Source organism: Homo sapiens, chromosome 3 (genome assembly GCF_000001405.40).
Source record: "Homo sapiens chromosome 3, GRCh38.p14 Primary Assembly".
In the NCBI taxonomy this organism is placed as follows: Eukaryota; Metazoa; Chordata; class Mammalia; order Primates; family Hominidae; genus Homo; species Homo sapiens.
Genome location: NC_000003.12, coordinates 190,428,227 through 190,450,971, shown reverse-complemented (window position 1 = coordinate 190,450,971; position 22,745 = coordinate 190,428,227). Strand labels below are relative to the sequence as shown.

The window sequence follows — 22,745 nt, the reverse complement described above, 5'->3', positions numbered from 1 at the left end:
ATTTTCATGAATATTTGCTGTTTCCAATATTTTGTTAACACCAACAATGCTTCGATGAACATCATTGCATATAGTAATTTGTGCCATGTGTAAGGGGTACATTCATGTATCTTGCAAGGAGAATTCTTGCTCTAAGGGCATATTTATTTTTTATGTTGATGTATATTGCCTACTTGTTTTCCAAATAAGCTGTACAGTTTTCCCAACCGTATATGAGAGTATTTGTTTCCCAGTATTTATCCCTCTTCCCTATATTATCAATTTTTTGAACTTGCCAATCTGATTATAATTCTAAGGTATGTTTATCTAATTATGACTGAGGTTAAGCATCTTAACAATCATTTGTTACATTCTTTCCACATAACCATTTAGCTCTTCATTATACCCTGAAAGATATCCATCTTCTCTCCACTAGTTTCAAATGGAAGCTTAAATAAATTTGTTTATTTGAGTCTAAACTCTCCATTTCTAAACTCTCTACTCTTTTACATTTACCTTATTATTTACACATATCAGTACTAATTTTTGTAAAATGCATAGATTAAGACATCTTAATGTACAATAGGTTAGTGCCTTTTCTTTTTCTCAGAATTTCCCTAGATATTCTTGCTTTATTTTTCAGTGGTAGTGATGGAGTTGTTTCATAAAATAAACATTGAAATATACCTTGTTTAAAAGAGGGGTATTATCACAATAAAACAAGGAAAGCTTTATGCCTAAGTTTGGGTTAGACCTGGAACTGAAAATGGTGTGTAGGAGAACAAAGAGTACCAACAAAGGGAAGAAAATTGAATAAATGTTCCAAATATGAAATACTATTAGAAACCCAGAAGTTCCCTGGAATAAAACATGCACTTGAATGTGGAAAGTTATTAAGTAGCCAGCTAGCTCTGTAGGTCAGCATTTATAACCCCTACTTTTAAAGGCCTTGACAAACAGTGCTAAAGTTCTCACCTTAAACTTAAATTCCTTGGGCTCTTAGTACCTGTAAACATGTACCCAACATTCCTTCCCCTAGCATGCACTTTACGAGTCACAAGGAGCCATTATTAATGCATGTCCTGGTAGGAAGCATAACTTATAGAGAAGCTAGTAAGTTCTGAGAAAGAAGGAAATAAACACAGGCACCAAACCACTATCCTAAGTTGACTGTCCTTTAAATATGTCAAGATCCAGACTTTTCAGTGTCACCTCAGCGATCTCAACGATAGGGATCTTGTGTTTGCCGCTATTCCAGGTAACTATCTCTCTTTCTGGGTTAAGGTTTTCAGAGGTACTCTGAGGTACTCTGAGGACTTGATTTGCTATAGATTTATATGTGAGCAACTTAACTGCTTCTACATTTAAAAGATTTCCTTCAAGCTTTACTAGCATCTTATGATTTCTTGTATTCACTGGTCAGAGGGACAAAACAAAATGTCCAAGGCATTAGTCTTATTTCTCCTTCAATTAGTTCTATTGCTACTGAAATAACGTGATTGCAAATTTAACCTTTGTTTAACTTTGCTATGCTGTAATTTTTTAAATTCAAAATGCTATTGACACAGAACAAAATGCTATGGCTAGATTAATTTAAGACATGTTTACTATTGCCTACAACCATACTTGATGCTTGACAGTTTTTCAATGCTGACTGATGTAGACAGAACCATTTTAGGATTTATTTCAGTTCCTCTGCTCCAGCATCCCCTTCTGACTAACACGTGCATCTCTAGATCTGTGTGACTTCAATGCAAGGTATCTGAAAGATTTAGATCTAAAGTAAATTATAGCTTTCCTTACCTCTTCATAATAACTGGAAGTTTGACAGCTAATGTGTTGGCAGTGAGGTGCTAATAATTTAATACTGTGTACTATTGCTAGGGTACAACACACAGAAAAAACACGGAAGTGACTTGAAAGTGAAATACTGGTTTTATTTGTTTATCTGTTAAGCTGGATCCCAAACGATTTCATCTACTCATAAATAAACTTTCTTTATGGACAAAATGTGAATGTTCATTTTCCTTTCACTTAGTATGCAAATCTATTTGCAGCATTCTAGCAAAAAAGAATGCAACTCATTTTCTGTGCTTATAAATTGTTCATTACCATGCTCTCTGATGGCCAATTCATGGCTCCATCTGCAACTCCACAAATCTCTTTGCCCAGATAAACTTGGTGGAGTAAATACAAGGTGCTGAAGAAGATGCTTTTGGGATTAAGGGGGGAAAAGACACATCTCACACAGAACTCCCAAGTCTATCACTTTAAATTTTGTAACTTCTTACTTGTACTTTTATTTGCGTGTTATAGTCCAGGAAAATAAATACTTCAACTGACTTCATCAACTAAGTGTTCAGAGCTACACATAAATGCCGTTTAAAGACTTTCTCCTTGTACAAGGAAGGAGTCCTGGTTCAAAGGGTCAAGCAAGCAAATAGATAATAAGATCTTTAGAAAGAAGTGCCTTTTTCCTTGTGATTTAGTATATGAGATGTTGTAACCTATGACACTCAGTGCAGATAACTAAGAGCATTATTTTAGAATGCTTATAGTATTGGACTTTTCAAACAAAGCAACAAAGATGATTACTTTTTTTCTCTTCTCTGATAAAGAGAAGACTGTAAATCTCAACTGGAATGTCATGTGATCTTAAATGGACCTTACCCTTAGAGCAGGTTAAAGTCGCCCTTTCATGAATATATATTTAATGCCCATTAATGCTAATAGGCTTGACTTCTGTTTCCATGTATGTACTTGGAACTTGTTTTTTTTTGCGTGAAAATAATACTCACTAATAATGAACCTCTGACCTCTAGCTACAACATGAAAACAAAAAATGCAAAGTGCACAAAAGCTCTTTAGAGCAAGCAAAATCTGCATATAGAAAAAACAAAAATTGTCGTAAAATCCATTTATATTGGTATGTAGAAATGGAATCTGGTTCACAATATATATCTTCTGCCACTGCTGAGCTTAAGAATCCACCCAGAGATTTTTTCAATTAAAATTCTGTGTACCAACAATAAACTCTGCTATAGAGCTTTTAATTAAAAAAGCAAACGAAATGATATAAACCCACATTGTCTCTAGGCGCTGCTTGTATTAAAGGATTAGACTGATGAGATGTTTGGATTTTATTGTTCTAAACATGTGTTTCAGTTGGTGCTCTCGGACCTACCATGCGAAGAAGATGAAATGTAAGTAAACAGCGAAAAACTCCATGTTTTTATTTCGCATTTAAAAAATTCAAAGTATAAAAAAGGCTCAAGCCATTAGAAAAAGCCCAGTTGAGTTTCAAATGATCATTATAATCAGAAGAAAAGTAAATGGTTTGTAAATGCAGATGGCTCCATTTTTTTTTCTGAAAACAGGAAAGATAATTTTCATTACGATCAGCTTTGTTAAATAAATAAGAGGCCTAGTTGATTTCTAGATATTTTTGCACACTGAATTTATCTTCCTTAAGGTTTCAAGGGTACTTTAAGTTCATAAAAGAATCATGATGTCATCTATGGCTTCATCCACACTCAAAAATCACAGTGACCAAGGGAGGCAGTTTTCTGTATAACTCAGTTTAAAATACAAGCAAACTGACCAAAATTCTAACCTGTACTGTGTGTCTATTTCAAAGTGCTTGTGATATGAATTATGTGAACAATTGACTCAATTTTTTCACTTTTTGTGCGATAGACTTAATGGTTCTCAGAATTCTATTCAGGAGATGAAGAGAAGGTGCCATTAATAATGATACTGATAATTAATATCTGTAATTCATTGTGATTTAGTATCAGAAAAGCACTTCCACCCAGCACTATCTTCTCCTGCTTGCAGCCCTTACTGTTAGCAGCTGTTTTCAGTCTTCATTGCCTGTTACACTCAAAGCCATGCTCTCTGTATAGCAGGAGGCTATGACTGTATTTCACAGCAGAAATTGGGACCATTCACCTGCTTCTGGTGGATCTTCTTATTGTTAACAATCTGCTTATTAAATTTGTGCTGCTCTTTCAGCTTTTGCATGGCTCTCGATTGCTATTTCTTTACGTTAATTTTGGAACTGCTTTTTCACTCTGTCTTATGCTGTTTGTGATGTAACAGAGTATTTGATTGTTTGCATGCTTATCTGACTCAGGATTTCCTGGCTGCCCTTATCTTATCTCCTCATCTTCTGCCTTTGACCCAGACTAACAAAATAAAGAAGTTCAGAATTGGAAAGGATCTTAAATGTTGAATCTAACTCTAATCAACGTGACAGAAACATACGGTATTAAGAAAGTTTTTATGCTGACTTTAGCGGTAGCTGAGGCTACCGCTCTCCCTTTTAGGTGAAGGGATTGAAACCTAAGAGAAATAGTAAATGAGTAGTAGGGCTTCAACTGGTACTTAGGCATCACATTCTCTGGCTACATCATTTTGCAACTAAGTGTCTGTAATGGTTATCATTATTCAATACAATTGCTTTTGAGTAAAAACAAAAAAAAATTAACCCTCAAATGAAATGTAAATTGGCAGAAAATAAACACAAAAAAGAGAGTGGCTGGGAATGTAGGGTGGTCATATAAGGTAAGTAAATGTATTGAAGACGTGCACAATATCTCAAATCTTTTGTTATCGCAAGACAGTGTCAGCGGAATGAATCTGTAAGGAAAGTCATGCTGTTTTCTGAGGGAGTAAAAAGTCCCCTCCAAGAAAAATCCTCTTTCTCTAACTATATTTATACAAGAGATTTCAGTTTCAAATCACTTCTTTGATCTGAGACATTATCTCCTGATAAAATACACTACCCAGCCAAGAGACCATATTCATCCATTTACCAGCACTGCTATAAGAGAGTAACACACAAACATGGCAGATTACAGTGAAAAGGACCGTAAAGATGGCCTACTCCAAATGTCTTTTAAAAAATGAGAAACACAAAAGGACAGTAGCTTGTCCAAAGTTCACATGCAAAATGGACACAGAAAAGGGAGACTTGGATTGGAATGCAAGGGAGCATCAAAGTAAAAACATGAAACATGGATCGCCTAGGTAGAGGCCATGGTGGAGGAGGTGCTGATTAGCTAGAAATAAAAACATATGTATTAATCAACTTCTATGTTCCAAGAATTGTGCGAAACAATTTGCATATATTTTCCATTAAAACAAACAAACAAACAAAACTGGTCGACCGGGCGCAGTGGCTAACCCTGTAATCCTAGCACTTTGGGATGCCAAAGTGGGTGGATCACCTGAGGTGGGGAGTTCGAGACCAGCCTGGCCAACATGGTGAAACCCCATCTCTACTGAAAATACAAAAATTAGCCGGGCATGGTGGCACGCACCTGTAATCCCAGCTACTCAAGAGGCTGAGGCAGGAGTATCGCTTGAACCTGGGAGGTGGCGGTTGCAGTGAGCCGAGATCGCACCACTGCACTCCAGCCTGGGTAACAGAGCGAGACTCCGTCTCAAATAACAACAACACTGGTCTATTTTATTATTCCCTATTTAAATTTGTTTTCAACACCAGGGTACGTTTTTCTGATCCAATCCAATTATTTTACTTTTCTAACTGTATTTTTAACATGAACAAAGCTTTGCTGTGCTGTCTTTGTATAAAATTTAAATGCTATAAGTAATTTATTTTATGAAATAAAGCATGACAGAGCCCCTCTTATCATACTTCTGACTTAGTCCTCTTCTGATAAATAGCCAAGGACACTGATGTGCATGAATGAACAAAAATAGATTGATTTATGAAATATAAATATGACTATACATATAAAAGATTCTGTAAATTAATTGCATTGATAGATTTTCTAATGATATACCACATCTTGCTTGGCTTGATAAAGTGAAATATCTTACTCAAGAGTAGGAAAGCAAGTTAAAAGGCAGAGCTTGGACTTGGACCTGGGACAGACTCCTGAGCCCAGAATTTCAACCACAAAGTTATATTGTATATCCAACATTTAATCAATTATACATCTGGTGAAATACCTGAGATATGCATAGTCCATTCATTCTTTGAGATACTATACAATTTACTACCAGTTTCTGGGTAATATGATTTGTGACTCATCCATCCCTCAAATTACTGTAGCTGAATTGCACTTTGGCCTATGTTGAGGAATGACTTTTTAAAAATAAAAAAAAATTCATGCAATTTGTTACTGAATTTATTCTGAGAATACTATGGAAAACATTGTTCTTATGTTAACAGTGTTCTCTTTATGAGGCCTCATAGCTTGAATTTTTCTCTGGTTTCGATGCCAGGAATAGTTGTACATCTGGTGAGTAATGCTGTTCATTTTGTTAATTTTAGAGGACACTATATAACCAATATTCTCTCTCATTATGCTAGCTGCTAGGAAGCTTAAGTCAGATCTACAGTTCAATTCAAATTTTATATACGGTATTTACTATATTCGGTTTACAAACTGATCTCACTATTGGCCTATTCTCTGTCTGATCCTCACCAGGCTCTCATTTCTATTTTTTTTTTTTTTAATTTTCAGTATTTCCTTAAAGCATTTGGAACACGGGATACTGGATTCATTCAGGCAATACTCCACATGGTACTATGAGGTTAGAGCTGGCTATTACTGTCCCAGTCGCACCACGACATGGTGATAAGAGACATGAACTCTGCAGACAGAGCATTTGGGTTGAAAACCTACTTCTACCACTTCCAGCTATGCTAACTTGCGCAAGTTACTTAATGGCTCTGTGACTGAGTTCTCTCAGTTGTAAAAGGAGAATTATAATAGTATGACCCTACTGTATAGTGGTGTAAGTTTGAGAGTCCGTTATTTCACATGAAGTTACGCATCTGGTTTTAGAAGAGTGTCTGCCCTAGAAAATGCTGAGTGATGTAACAGAGAAACCAATGAAGCAACTCTGCATATTTCTTCCTGAATTTATCAAATTCATAAATGTGTAATCTAAGGTCCACAGATTCTCAGCACAGAGAAGAAGAATAAAGATCAACTCATCTAACCATTCGTATTGCACAGAAATCATCTCCATGACATCAAAGTAACAAAAGGAAATCGTTCTGATAAGGACAGAAATTATCTCCCTCAACAATTAATTCTAGATAATTCTTATTCCAAATGTCTTTCTTACGCATTATAGTCAGCTCTCACTTCCCCCCGATGATTTTCTTTTTACCATAATCATACCAATTTGACCAATCCCTGAGGAATAATTTCATTTTCAAAAATATAACCTTTCCTATACTGAATATCTTGGAAGTAATATTTGAGTAATTAGAATACTCTTACTTTTTTAGGAACTCAAAAAGTTTCTGTTTACAACTTGAATTTAAGAGAGAAATGGAAATAATGATTCGAGGAGGGGAGCATATGGAGCCAAAAGACACATGTTCCAGTGTAGTTCTCTGACTACGTAGTGAATTCCCCTCTTCCTCTCTCCACCTTAAGTCTCAGTGGTACACTGTGCAAAATCCTAAAGGTCAATAAATGATCTCAAAGATGCCTGCGATTTGGAGCTTACATGATTACTGCACTTCTCCAGCTAACTGCTTCCTAGCCATGTTATTTCTTATCAGAAACTCCACCAGAGGGTGCACCAGCTCAGAAAAAAAAGTGAAATAAAGTTGGTTTGGAAAATTGTTAGCCCAGGAAGAAAAAAAAATAGAGGGCCTTAAAAATTAGATTTAAGAAACACAATGAGGTGGTTAATATTTAGAATTGAGTTTAACGATAAGTAAAGGGGCTATTTTCAAACAGAAAAAAAGTAAAGGAAGAGGAGGAAGATGAAATAATCCATACTCCTGACCATGAGCTTAGATGTCACAATTCAAAAAAGAAAAACAAAACAAAACAAAACAAAAAAAAAAAAAAGCTTTTTTAATTGTGTCAGGACACCAAGAGAATTTCCCCACATCTGTCTCTTAAAAAATGTATATTTTTAAGGTTTTAATTTTTTAATACAATATTTTAAAGTTCTTTTTACTACAAAGTGATTCGTGTACATTACAATAATTCAAACAATATGAAAGGGATAGAGTTTTTCATAATGCCATCTTCAAGAGAAGTGGGCACTTCAGTAGTCTGGTGTAAATTTATGTCTGGTAGTAATTTTGGCGAAATCATTGTACTTGTAGAAAATAATATATACAAAGTAAGATTGAAGTCTCTATACTATTTTATGTAGCAAGACTTATTTATAAACATGTTTACATTATTTTTGATGATTGAATAATATTCCCTTGTAAGTATGTCCCATTAATTATTTTTCACATCTTTTATTCATGGCCATTTGTCTTAGGATGCTTTTCAAAGTCACACTTCAGTTGCCATTTTTTTTTTTCCAGCCATACCTGTGAATTTTGCTAAACACTCTGGGCGCTCAAAAGAACAAAGAGCAAATAAACAGAAAACAGACAAAAGAAAAAGACGCAGAGATTTATATGTGGAGGGGAATGAAATCATCTGTAGGCTGGGTGATTGGTTTTTGTCTTAAATGTTTGTGATAGAATTTTTAAATTGACACTTCACATATGTTAAAAGTCATTTCTGACTGGTATGATGATGGGATGACACACTGCCTCCTCAGGGAAGCTAGATGCAATAAATTAACTGACATTTATGAATGTCTTCAAACTGCAATGAACTGAGTTATTTTAACAATGGCTGAAGAAGATATGATTAAGTATAGTGTCTTCTCAGAAGTGTATCTGACTGTGAATAACAGATTTCCACTGTTCAAGCTCAGTTCAGAATACCTTAAAAGTAGCTTGTATATTGAGGTATGAAAAAAGTCCATCAGCCCACATACATTTAGTGTGCCATGTTAGGCATAGTGAGGGACTCTACACCTACGGAGTTATACCTCCCAAAAATCACTCTGTGAACTTTGTCTGTCTGCGATATTTTAAAACTTCTCTCAAGAAAGATTGAATTGTGGCTAGACACACACAGGAGGGTCAACTTCCTGACTGAAGGAGTCAACTTCTAACTCCTTGGTAAATGGTAGGTATGGCCACGTTCATTCATTTTCCTCCTAGCCTAATTTCTTTCCTCACCAATTGTATAACAAGAGGGCAAACAGTTGTCCAATGCCTCCTATTCTCTACCAAGATATTCTTCCCTGGAGAATTTGAGTTTTACATGACTGTAGGTCTCTAGATGAACAGAATATAGCTATAATGGTTATCTACCTAATACCAAACACCTACGATTTGTTGTCCCTGAAGAGTTAAGTCACTGCCTTCTCAATGCTTAACAGTATTTGTAACTCTAGAATCAAACCCATTATAATGCATTTATCTGTTTATGTATCAGTCTGATAATTTCACATTTACTTGTATTCTCAGTGCCTTGAATTGAGTGGGCATAAACATTTGCATAATTGTGCTGGGTGCGGGACGATATGGGCTGGTATGGGAATATGTAGGTGACTGTTCTGGAGAAACAAGTGTGATCAGTACCAATTTTATTGGGTGAAAGAAATAGGCTTTGGCTATCCTGAGTTCCAGGACTAACGCTCTCCCTTTATCACCAGGTGTGTAAATTATAATGACCAACACCCTAATGGCTGGTATATCTGGTAAGGATATCTTCCATTTGTTTTATATGACAGTTGGTGGTATATACAGTCTTTGTCCTAAATAATTTGAGATGGTACATGAAATCATACAGCTTAAGGAAAGATTAGGGGTCATGCAAATGAATATAGAAACATCACTTTCAGATCGTTGGCCAATGTTTACTTAAACACTTCTTGTGACAAAAGGACTCACTATTTTAAAAAATAAGCTTATTCTAGAGTTGAAAATCTTTAACAGCAAAATAATTGTTATTTGTCTTGAAATCTCCCTAAATGACCCTCCACTGATATTAGTTCTGGCCTTAAAAGGCATTCCAAATGACCACTGTCTCTTCTATGAGATAATCCTTCAGATTTTTTTTTTTCTCTGAGACACAGTTTTGCTCTGTCGCCCAGGCTGCAGTGCAGTGGCGCCATCTCGGCTCAATGCAAGCTCCGCCTCCCGGGTTCCCGCCATTCTCCAGCCTCAGCCTCCGGAGTAGCTGGGATTACAGGCGCCCGCCATCACGCCCAGCTAATTTTTTGTATTTTTTAGTAGAGACGGGGTTTCACCGTGTTAGCCAGGATGTTCTCGATCTCCTGACCTCGTGATCCGCCCGCCTCGGCCTCCCAAAGTGCTGGGATTACAGGCTTGAGCCACCGCGCCCGGCCCCTCTGCCTACTTTTGAATTCCTATCCCCAATATCTAAAGTGTGTGTAGTTGCTTAAATACTAACTGAATGGATGGATGGATGAATGGCTGGATGGATGTCTGAAAGGAAGAATGGATGAATGAATTAAGACTCTGTCTTTTAGAATAACCCTCCAATTTCTAAGGAGAAAATGATTATTACCACCTGGAAAGATCAACCCTTTCTGAGGCCAAAGAATATTTTCAGTTCAGTGGAAATGTATGGGTGGTGGTAGGAAATTGCTTAAGGAATTCAGTGTCCCACATTGCTTGCGGCCAGTCTAGCTGAGTCTTCACCCCACTTCTAGGTAGTGATGGAAGCTCTTAACTTCCCTGCATACTCTACCTCATTCTTTTCTCGGTTACTTTTGGAGTCAGGATCCTCCTGCTGCTGGTTTTGGTGGCAGCTCTTCTCTGTGGAGCTGTGGTCCTCTGCCTCCAGTGCTGGCTGAGGAGACCCCGAATTGATTCTCACAGGCGCACCATGGCAGTTTTTGCTGTTGGAGACTTGGACTCTATTTATGGTGAGTTGTCTGCACGCTTCTGGACTCTTTTTTGATACTTTGTGGTTTTGCGGTTAATTGAAAAACTGTTCTCCCAAAAGCAGATCTGGGAACTTAGAAAAAGATGTGGCTTATTGGAGACACCAAGGCCTGCACTGAGGAGAGTTTAAGGGAGAAAATTTCATAAGAAAGACAATCCCAGAAGAAAGAAAATGTGTCTTGGGAACTGACCCACAGTTAAGTATAAGGAAAGCAACTAAATATTTTGTTGTTCAATAAGCAGAAGAGAAGAAGTATGCAGGGCTGGGCAGTCCAGGTGAATGGTAGGGTTTAGGGTACTGCAAAGCATCTCTGAGCTTTTATTATCAACCTGTCTTAACTTGTATTTATAAATTCATTTACTGAGCTTTCTATGCTTTACTGAACTCATCTGAAGTAACATTGAACGACACTTTCCAGATGTCTGCGGTCAATGCAGAATCTGAAATTCCATGGAATAGTCAGGGGAATGTCAATTTTCATGCCCTTTCATCTCAGCGTCCTGATCCTGTCAGCTCCCAACTTCCCCTCCCAAAACCATGCCCTTCCCTTCATTTTCCAGTTTGCATAAGGAAGTAAAGAACAGAGGAAATTCAGGGCTTAGAGTTATTTGCAGCTGCCAGCCTTAGCTGTGAGTAGAAAAAAACAACTTACTGATTTCTGGGAAGCCATAATTGATAGCTATTTCTTCATCTTAAGTATTGGCTCAAGCAGGGACTGTTGTGAGACTTTATTCTAAGTTACTGCATTACACACTACAGTTACCTCGGGAGCGCTTAACAGAGATAATAGCTAAAGCCGTCTTTCAGAAACTGGGCCACCATGAAATTTACAATAGATGGAGCAGGGTGTGCCCTGGGGAAAACTAACAGCAAGATGAAAAGTGGGGTAAAAATAAACAAAAATTTGTTAACATCAAACTTAGTTTTCCAAGATAATGATTATATTGACCTCCAGCTTTTTTTTTTTCCTTCAAAGGTTATTACTTAACAGAGGCAATGCATTATCAGTTTGGGAAATGGTTCTTTTTTTTTTTTTTTTTTTTTTTTGAGACGGAGTCTCGCTCTGTCGCCCAGGCGGGAGTGCCGTGGCGCGATCTCCGCTCACTGCAAGCTCCCCCTCCCGGGTTCACGCCATTCTCCTGCCTCAGCCTCCCGAGTAGCTGGGACTACAGGCGCCCGCCACCACGCCCGGCTAATTTTTTGTATTTTTAGTAGAGACGGGGTTTCACCGTGGTCTCGATCTCCTGACCTCGTGATCCGCCCGCCTCGGCCTCCCAAAGTGCTGGGATTACAGGCGTGAGCCACCGCGCCCGGCGGGAAATGGTTCTTTTAGGAAGGATAATTAAAGTCTCCAAAACAATAGTTCTTCCTCCTAAAATCAAAAGCACCTTCCACAGGGCATAGAGGGAAACAGGGTTATTGATATTTTAACAAAATATGTTAGTCAAAGGAGTCAACATGCTAACATTGGACTATTTTTCTTTATTTACCTCCAGGTATTTAATAAGTAAATGCAATTATGCTTCTTTTATCTGAACTTAAGTTTCTAAAAAGAAAAATGCAGCCTAGTATTTTCAGCTCTTCTCTCACTTCAAGAAAGACCTTTTCCTCGACTATCTTGAATCTTAAAAGAATTTTCGTTTTAATTTTAAGTATATTATTAAGCTAGACAGTTATACTGTTAAACATTTTTAAAGCAGCTTATGTGCCATGGTTATACCCTTCTTTATCTAATGTTTTTATATTTCTTGCATGGCAGATTCCATATGTGCTCTTGAACTTGCCTGAATGTCATGAGTGTGAAGGAAGGGTCAAGGCTGATATACTGCTTTAGCAATCTGCATGTGCTAGCACTGAGTGACGGGCAATAGACTCACATTCTCTATGTTACTCTGAAATCATTCAGAACAGGCAAAAAAAAAAAGAAAAAAAAACCAAACAACCTTGGGGATAAATTGCTTTTTTTTAATTATTATTATTATACTTTAAGTTTTAGGGTACATGTGCACAATGTGCAGGGTAGTTACATATGTATACATGTGCCATGCTGGTGTGCTACACCCATTAACTCGCCATTTTGCATTAGGTATATCTCCTAATGCTATCCCTCCCCCCTCCCCCCACCCCACAACAGTCCCAAGTGTGATGTTCCCCTTCCTGTGTCCATGTGTTCTCATTGTTCAATTCCCACCTATGAGTGAGAACACACGGTGTTTGGTTTTTTGTCCTTGCGATAGTTTACTGAGAATGATGATTTCCAATTTCATCCATGTCCCTACAAGGGACATGAACTCATCATTTTTTATGGCTGCATAGTATTCCATGGTGTATATGTGCCACATTTTCTTAATCCAGTCTATCATTGTTGGACATTTGGGTTGGTTCCAAGTCTTTGCTATTGTGAATAGTGCCGCAATAAACATACGTGTGCATGTGTCTTTATAGCAGCATGATTTATAGTCCTTTGGGTATACACCCAGTAATGAGATGGCTGGGTCAAATGGTATTTCTAGTTCTAGATCCCTGAGGAATCGCCACACTGACTTACACAATGGTTGAACTAGTTTACAGTCCCACCAACAGTGTAAAAGTGTTCCTATTTCTCCACATCCTCTCCAGCACCTGTTGTTTCCTGACTTTTTAATGATTGCCATTCTAACTGGTGTGAGATGGTATCTCATTGTGGTTTATATGGTCACAATTTGTTTTACGTCTGTCAAATGCTAAGCAGTAATTTGCGGATTTTCAGATATTATCTCTAATTCCTAAATATCAACTTGGAAAAGTGACTGTTATTTATCTTAGAGGATGTTATGTACTTCTCTCACTCTCAAAGGGACACATACATGCATAGATGTTTACTGCACGTCAACTAATCGAGTTTAAAGTGTCCAGAATTGGGGCTAGGGAACCAGTGAAAATATGGGCTGGTCACTCACAGCCCAGCCCATCCCTGGACACTAAGTAGAGCCTCACTATTTGAACACCTAGACTTTTCTATAGAGCAGCTTTTCAGTAGCAGGGCTTGTGCTCCAGGATCTTCATGCCCATCCTCACTCTATTCTTTCACCCCAATTCCACTGGTTTAACTTCTGGATCTTATTTTGCTCAAGAAACATTTAAACTCTTCCATCCTGAGTTGCACTGCAAATCTCTCTACTATTGATTCCCATTAGTTACTCTGTCCTATTTATCTTTTTTTGTGTGTGTGCCTATGCTGAATTCATTGTTAGGTTGTTCCACCCACTGCCGATGTTCCATCTTGTCCCAGGAATGCTCAGGATGGCAGGATAGGCAGGGAACAGCCATTCATACAGTCTTTGATGTGGATAAGATGCCCAGAGCTGTGCTTTTTGGCATTTCTGTTTCTCTTCTCCAAAACAAAATACAAAAGAGTAATTTAGGAAGTGGTGATCTCCCATCTCTAGTGACTTCTTACCTAGTAACTTCTGGAAGCAAATTTCAGGCAGTCAATATTTTAAGACAATTTGAAACCTGGACCCATGCTAGATTTACATTCCTCACTGGATCTTCATGATACCTTCACTTCTCCATACAAATCATTCTTCCTACCTAATATTTCTATAAAAAGAAGCTGCTCTCCAAAAGGGAAGTTAAAGAACCACTTGCTTTTGTGGCTACAGAAGGAGGTGAGGGTCAAAACCACAGCATCTACCTCCACAGCTCCCACAGAGTATGTGCTCACAGCGGAGAACTGAGTCCAGCTGCCACAGGATTCATACGCCCACACCAAGGTTATGGGACTGTGCTTCTGAATTTCCCTCACAGTCCCTGTTCAGAAGAGAAAGAGAAAAATGAGAAATCTCTGGAATGACACTGGTGACATGTTAGAATACAAAATAAGGTTTCTGGACTCCCTGCCATTTCTTGAGCACAAAGGAGAAGATGGGATGTTCCCCACTGAATACAGAATGTGGGAAATGGGTAATTTATTTGAAACATTTTAATGGAGAGACTAGATTTGATATATTAACCTTGGGTTCCTCCCAAAACTTAATTTTTTAAATTTTTACCAAAACTTATTTTACTTAATTATCACCATTTATTGAATATATTAATTGAAATAGCTCGGCTCTTCTGACATGTAGGGCAAAGGTTGGACTCTCAGGATCTCCTGGAAGCTGCCCTCAACTGAGCAGAACTCAGAGGAAACTTTTGACTGAGAAACTGAGGTGGACAAATTGTGCTAATGTTAAAATACATAAAATAGAGAATTTCTTTCAATCAGAACTACTGATACTATTACATGGTGCAGGTTGCCAGTTATTCTGATTAGAAATACTAAACAGAAAAAAGAAAACACTTGGCTTGGATCCTTATAAAGGTATGTAAGGAGGGTGTTGCCAGCACAGCCCATCCCAATGTCTGGTGGAATTTCCTGTCTGGGAGAGGTCCGTGGGTTCTCACCCAAACACCACAGACCACAGTAGTGTTTCCCGGGCTAATGTTCCTGTCTTTTCACAGTACTCTGCTGATTCAGTCTTTAGATAACTGGTCTTCCTTCCTCTTCATAGGATCTATACCCCTGAAGTGTGGATCCTAAACTGAGGGGCTTCTCGAAAGTCTTTGGATTCTGTAGAAGAGACCCTGGCACTTACTGTGCGCTCAAAGATCACTCTCCATGTCCACAATATGTTAGGAAGATCTTTACCCTTCAGAAAGGGAAAAATATTCCCTCTGATGCCCCCTGTTGTGGGTTGAACTGTGTCCCACCCAATTTCATGTGTTCAAATTCTAACCCCAGTATCTCAGAATATGACTATATTTGAAGATAGGGCCTTTAAAAAGACAAAGGCAATGAAATTAAAATGAGGTAATTGGGATGAACCTTAATTCAATATGACCAGCATTCTTATAAGAAGATATTAGCACACAGACAGGCACAAAGTAAAGACCATGATGTAGAGACACAAGGAGAAGGGTGGCCATCTGCAATCCAAGGAGAGAGGCCTCAGAAGAAACCTACCCTGCCGAAACCTTGGTCGTGGATGTCTAGACTCCACAATCGTGAGAAAATGAATTTATGTTATTTAAGTGATCCAGTCTGTGGTACTTTGTTATGACAGCCCTAGTAAACTAATACAGCTGCTCTCTTGGGGAGTGAGGAGGAAGAAGAGGGGCTGTCAGAGAACGAAGAAGAGGAGAAGATCAGAAGAAAGTCAAGAAGGCAGAGAAGGAGAAGATGCAGAGCAAGAGGAAGAAGAGAAGAAACAGTTTAAAATCAGAGATATTTTAAGGACTAAAATTTAAACCTACTTATTTTATACAGATTCTAAATTCTTCTTTTTTTCTTCAGCCCCACTTCCTCTTCCTGGTCCCAGCTCCAGAATCTCCTCCTCTTTCTTCTCCCTTTACTATGTTCCCCTGAACTTCACTCATCTTCTGGATCCGGTTCTCCTTCACCATCTCTGCTACAACCCAGAGAGCGTCCGCTCAATGACCTCATGTCTTCTCAAATGGCATCATCCATGCCGTAGCTTCTGAGACCTTCTTAGTTCCTTCTCTAAATCGTCAAAGATGAATAATTCTAGTATTATGTGGGTATGTTTTGTTCAGTATCTGTGTTGAGGTAATTTTTTTTCATTCTTTTTGATGTTTTCTTTTCTTAGTGTATTAGTCCATTTTCAAGCTGCTGATAAAGACATAACTGAAACTGAGCGATTTACAAAATAAATAGGTTTAATTGGACTTACAGTTCCATGTGGCTGGGGAAGCCTCACTATCACGGTAGAAAGCAAGGAGGAGCAAGTCACATCTTAGATGGATGGCAGCAGGCAAAGAGAGAGTAAGGAAGATGCAAAAGTGGAAACCCCTGATAAAACCATTAGATCTTATGAGACCTATTCACTACCACAAGAACAATATGGAGGAAACCACCCCACCACTCAATTGTCTTCCATCAGATCCCTCCCACAACACACGGGAATTATGGGAGTACAGGTCAAGATGAGATTTGGGTGGGGACACAGTCAAAGCATATCACTCAGTATCTTACCTAATTTAATAATGCCTTCAGAATATCTCCTAAGTGATAATACAACTGAAAACACAGAAGACTTCCTGTGTTAGTCCATTCTCACATTACTATAAATAAATACCAGACTGGGTAATTTATGAAAAAAAAGTTTAAATTGGCTCATGGTTCTGCAGGCTGTACAGGAAGCATGATGCTGACATCTGCTTGGCTTCTGGGGAGGCCTCAGGGAACTTAAATCATGGCAGAAGGCAAAGAGGGAGCAAGCACTTCACATGGCTGGGCCAGGAGGAAGAGAGTGGGAGGCGGGTGGTGTTACACACTTTTAAACAATCAGATCTCGTGAGAACTCACTATCATGAGAACAGCACCAAGGTTATGGTGCTAAGTCATTCATGAGAAGCCATTCCCATGATCCAGTCAACTCCCACCGGGCCCCGTCTTCAACACTGGGGATTACAATTCAACACTGGTTTTGGGTGGGGACACAGATCCAAATCATATCAATCTGCAAAACCAGTTTTCTCCCCCCTCTCAAATGTGGAAATGGGAAGTGAAAACACACATTGAGCCACAGACAGTGATTTTTTCAAAGGAATGTATGCAAATTTTTAGTAAAGGTTGAGAAAAAAGAAGAGAAAAATCCTCAAAATCTTCACATGACCATCTGTATCCCAAATCTCTACTGTTTGTGGTCATCGCTCAGCAGTTCATAAATCCAAGGACTATAATTATGATAGGGTAAAATAAATATTAAAAATAGTTTTTTTAAAAAAAGATAAGGATTTTGGTTTTGTTGATTAGGTTAATTGTTTTGTTTTATTTTTTAAATTTGTATATTAAAAGTAGGCAATGTCAAAGGAATTTTGGAGTTTATTAAAAATGAAAGGTTGTTTTTATTTTAATTTACTAAAAATAAGGATGACAATAAGGTTTTATTAAAAATAAAGTTGTGATGCTGAATAAAAGCCCATCTTAATGAGGAAGCAAGATATTTAAAGATAATTAATGGAAAATGGAGTTTTGGAGGTGAGAAAAGGACAAATAGAGCTTGAGGCAGAAAAACAATTGACTAGGCATTAGAAAAGAGAGAATTTGAGAGCATAGGAGAGGGACCCCCACAATTGTTTGTCCATGTTTTTAATAAAACATAATCAATTACATAACATTTAAATAAGGGTCCCTTTGCCTTTATGCCATGAAGTGTGTGGATTGGAGCTGGGTTCCCTCAGGCTTGACAAGGCTTCCTAATGAGGTTCCCTGCCTTTCCTGAGCTGATTGCAAGGTGAAGCCCGAGGTGACACCCCTCCTAGGGACACTCATCTTGGCTTAGCTTCTCCCTGGGGCTGATCGCTTGATAATGCTGCCCTTCAACTATACAATCTCTCTGATCCCATTTCTTCTGCAGTTTCAGGGATAATCTTCCCTCTTTCTTATTTCTGGGAAAATAGAAATACTGGCATTCCAGCAGTGATTATGTATGAGTGCTCTGAGCTGGGGAGAAATAGGAGGGCTGCAGAGAGGTGAACAAGAAGCAGGGTCTTACAGGCTCTGCTCTCTTCTCCCTCCAGTCTCCCAGGATTCTTTTATTTTATGATTTTTCAGAAATGCCATTTCCCTATGTTTCATGTTCTAAGTGTAAATATTCTGTGACTTATTTTCAGTAATAAAAAAGGAAGTATTTCATTCACAGATTTTCATGGAAAGACATGATAATAGTAATGACTCATTCATTGAGCATTTCCCAGGAGCCATGCTCTGTGCTAACACTTGACATCCTTAATCTCATTTATTCTTCCTTACCACTCTATGAAGGTTCACTATCATTCTGACCACTCTACCAATGAGGGAACAAAGGCACTTAGAGATTAAGCAACATAGTAAGTAGATGGCAGAACTGTGACTCAAATTCAGTCCTTCTGGCCACTCCCATAGAAGAGAAAGGAATGAGGTAAAGGAAAGAGAAGAAACAGGTAGAAAGAACATGTAGAAAGAGGTGAAGTCTATTTGAGTGATTCTTAAAAACATAGGAAATCTCAACTCTGGCTATAAAAACTAAGCAGTAAGTGTATTGGTTTTACAAAATTAAACAGTAAACTCTGATATCTTAGAGAGCAGTTCTGTAAAAACTATAGGATTTTTGCTGGCATTTTTAATTCAGTTCTCTCAGCTTCTTAATTTGTCAAAAGATAAAAATGCCTGTCCTCCCCAGCATCCAATCACTTGATATTATATGTAAACATGCTTTGAAAAAAATTGAAAACTGATATAACACATATTTGGTTTTCAAAACTTCCTGAACACATTGGCTTAATTATGTTTACCAAATGCCTTGTGGTTTTAATAACAAGTTTAAGATCAACAGCAAAATTTGTAGGAAGAAGATAATGAGTTTTCTACGAAAGCAACTGTGAAGACTCTATTACTGGGAGCACAATATAGACAGTGGCAATCGTACAAATAAATTGGAGCTAGTACAAATAATAGATGTGTCAAGTCAGTTTGGTTGACCATTTCTAGGCAGAAAGATAGTTACCTTTGACTTTGTACTGAATACACTAGGGGCAGTTCACCAAGAAAATAGCCATCATTCATTACAAGTATTCACAATGGAGGAAATTCCTAGGGTAACTGTATTTTACCAATTTTAACTCTGATTGATCAAGTCCCGCAGACTTATCTGACATCAACCCAAACTTATAAACTGCAAAGGGCTCTAACTCCATGATACTTTTCATTTAATAACTTCTATATTATAATTAATAATAATAATGTTTAAATCATTATTTAACTATGAAAAGAGGATGGATTGAAAAATAATATTGTAAATAAAAGTAGATGCATGCATGTTCCTATCATTAGTACAGCTCTTGACATATTGTAATAATAATAGTAAACCTTGATGCATAATTCCTGTGCCAGGCCTTGTTTTAAGTACTTTATGCTCATTTAGCCTTGCTTTTATAGAGGTAGACACGAGTATTATACCCTTATTGCCTAAGAGAAAACTGAGGTAAAGAAATATTATGTAATAGCCCAAAAGTAGACTATTTAATTAAATAGATAACTCTAAGAAAAGTGCTAAACCAGAAGGTGAGACATATATACTAAACACAGCTCCACCCTTTACATACTTGACTTATTAGTCTTTGCTCTGGTACCAGTGAGATAAGAAATAAGACAAACACAACTGTATGAAAATCCATTATTCTAAATTAACATTATCTGCTTCAAAGTAATCATTTTGAGTAATCTCCGTATGGATCCTAGTGAAGCAACTAATGCCTAATATGCAACTAGTCTTTGAATTCTTTTGATCATTGTGGCATATTCTTTGGAATATTCCTAATGGCATCAAATCTTACTCCTTTAAGGAAGGTCAGCAAACTTTTTCCATTAAAGACAGGTATAAAATATTTTTGGCTTTGCAAAATATATGGTCTAGGTGGGGACTACTCACCTCTGCCATGGTAGTGCAACAGCAGCCATAGACAATATGTAAGTGTATAAATAAGATTGTGTTTCATAAATTCAATACACAAAATCAGAGGCCCGATTTAGTTCACGGGACTAGTTTCTTTTTAAAGATGAATTTTTGATGGTTGCTATTGTTTTGGCAGAAAGCAGTCAAAATCATTCAAAGGTAAGTAAAGATCCAGGTGAATACATATTCTTTACATATAAGCATTTATACATATATATATATATAAAACCATCTTTATATATATAGTCATATATTAATATAAAGATGGTTATAAAATAGCACTATTATTTTTTTGTGTTACCCAAACACAGTCTTTCAAGGAAATACTAACAGACAATTTCCAAAAGAGCCATTAGAGTAAGTGCATAGTCTTTCAAGGTTACCAGTTAGTGGAAGAAAAGGCCAGTTTGTAATAGTTAATGGCCTATATTATGCCTAATCTAGAAGTCAAGAACTTTGATTTCCAAGTTTTTTTTTAAATTTTAGAATATATTCTCTTTATTGTGTGTGTATACTTTAAATGCGTGCTTTCATCACCGAGCTTAACATTTTTACTGTTTACTAAAGAGAAATAATTATTTATATTAGTTGAAGTTTGCAACCATACATGTAAAATAATACAATTTAGAAAGTGATATTTTAATTTTTCTAATGCAATTTACATTTCCCATGTTGGCAGCATTAGCTGAAATGCCATTAGTGTTGAGGAATCCTGTTCTGTGATCTACAAAAGAAGATATTCCTTCTAGTTTCAGCTCCTAAATTGTAAATGCTTCTTGATGGGTTAGACAATGATGATTTCATCAGTTCAGGCAAGCAATTTTTTTTTTCCCCCCTGTGGTGACTAAACCTTCACTGCAAAGAGCAAGATAGTTGTAATTTTTTTCTCATAGATACAAATAATTTTCTGTTGCTTCAGCGATCCAAGCAATGCCAGATTTTATCGGGCAGTTCATGTACTTATGTTTTATGCTCACTAGAAAGATTACAAGTCTTCATCTTTCTCTTTCCAGGGACAGAAGCAGCTGTGAGTCCAACTGTTGGAATTCACCTTCAAACTCAAACCCCTGACCTATATCCTGTTCCTGCTCCATGTTTTGGCCCTTTAGGCTCCCCACCTCCATATGAAGAAATTGTAAAAACAACCTGATTTTAGGTGTGGATTATCAATTTAAAGTATTAACGACATCTGTAATTCCAAAACATCAAATTTAGGAATAGTTATTTCAGTTGTTGGAAATGTCCAGAGATCTATTCATATAGTCTGAGGAAGGACAATTCGACAAAAGAATGGATGTTGGAAAAAATTTTGGTCATGGAGATGTTTAAATAGTAAAGTAGCAGGCTTTTGATGTGTCACTGCTGTATCATACTTTTATGCTACACAACCAAATTAATGCTTCTCCACTAGTATCCAAACAGGCAACAATTAGGTGCTGGAAGTAGTTTCCATCACATTTAGGACTCCACTGCAGTATACAGCACACCATTTTCTGCTTTAAACTCTTTCCTAGCATGGGGTCCATAAAAATTATTATAATTTAACAATAGCCCAAGCCGAGAATCCAACATGTCCAGAACCAGAACCAGAAAGATAGTATTTGAATGAAGGTGAGGGGAGAGAGTAGGAAAAAGAAAAGTTTGGAGTTGAAGGGTAAAGGATAAATGAAGAGGAAAAGGAAAAGATTACAAGTCTCAGCAAAAACAAGAGGTTTTATGCCCCAACCTGAAGAGGAAGAAATTGTAGATAGAAGGTGAAGGAGATTGCTGAAGATATAGAGCACATATAATGCCAACACGGGGAGAAAAGAAAAGTTCCCCTTTTACAGTAATGAATGTGGCCTCCATAGTCCATAGTGTTTCTCTGGAGCCTCAGGGCTTGGCATTTATTGCAGCATCATGCTAAGAACCTTCGGCATAGGTATCTGTTCCCATGAGGACTGCAGAAGTAGCAATGAGACATCTTCAAGTGGCATTTTGGCAGTGGCCATCAGCAGGGGGACAGACAAAAACATCCATCACAGATGACATATGATCTTCAGCTGACAAATTTGTTGAACAAAACAATAAACATCAATAGATATCTAAAATTTAGTTTGACCAAACTTATTTCCTAATCTTCTTTTTCCAAATCTGTTTTATCCAAACCTTCCCCATCTCAGTTAACTGCAACTGTTGCTCAGGCCAAAAAATACTTGGAGCCATAGAAGCTAGGGTAATCCTTTTTAATAAACTAGTTTTAGAGCAGTTTTAGGTCCACAGGAATATTGAGCAGAAGGTAGAGAGATTTATTGTATACACCCTGCTTTGACACTTACATAACCTCCCCCATTACCAACATTTCTCACCAGAGTGATACACTTCTTACAATTGATGTGCCTATACTGACATCATGATCATCCAAAGTCCATAGTTTATATTATGATTTACTCTTGGTGTTGTACATTCTGTAGGTCTGACAAATTTAGAATGACATGTACCTACCATTATAGTGTCACACAAAGTAATTTCAACGCCC

At 37.5% G+C, this 22,745-nt stretch overlaps 1 protein-coding gene across 1 annotated transcript, besides 1 other annotated feature; it reads left to right on the top strand.

The window, feature by feature from the left end:
• Positions 1 to 1,070: 1,070 nt before the first annotated feature.
• Positions 1,071 to 22,317, top strand: TMEM207 (transmembrane protein 207). The gene is made up of 5 exons (NM_207316.3): positions 1,071 to 1,237; positions 3,145 to 3,182; positions 9,490 to 9,534; positions 10,583 to 10,728; positions 21,241 to 22,317. The coding sequence occupies exons 1-5, from the start codon at positions 1,163 to 1,165 to the stop codon at positions 21,375 to 21,377; spliced, it is 441 nt and encodes a 146-aa protein (NP_997199.1). The 5' UTR covers positions 1,071 to 1,162; the 3' UTR covers positions 21,378 to 22,317.
• Positions 9,948 to 10,123: a silencer, noted in NCBI's record as "fragment chr3:190158638-190158813 (GRCh37/hg19 assembly coordinates)". NCBI's record gives its function as "represses an EF-1alpha promoter that drives an FKBP-Casp9 reporter gene in an ReSE screen in K562 erythroleukemia cells {active_cell/tissue: K562}" and the evidence as "EXISTENCE:reporter gene assay evidence [ECO:0000049][PMID:32094911]".
• Positions 22,318 to 22,745: the final 428 nt, after the last annotated feature.

Bases quoted from the DNA above. Each gene is read 5' to 3' on its own strand.
- TMEM207 (NM_207316.3), top strand. From the start codon at position 1,163: ATGTCAAGATCCAGACTTTTCAGTGTCACCTCAGCGATCTCAACGATA. The intron at 9,535-10,582 runs GTAAGGATATCT...TTTTGGAGTCAG, and splicing joins CCTAATGGCTGGTATATCTG to GATCCTCCTGCTGCTGGTTT. The intron at 10,729-21,240 runs GTGAGTTGTCTG...TTCTCTTTCCAG, and splicing joins AGACTTGGACTCTATTTATG to GGACAGAAGCAGCTGTGAGT.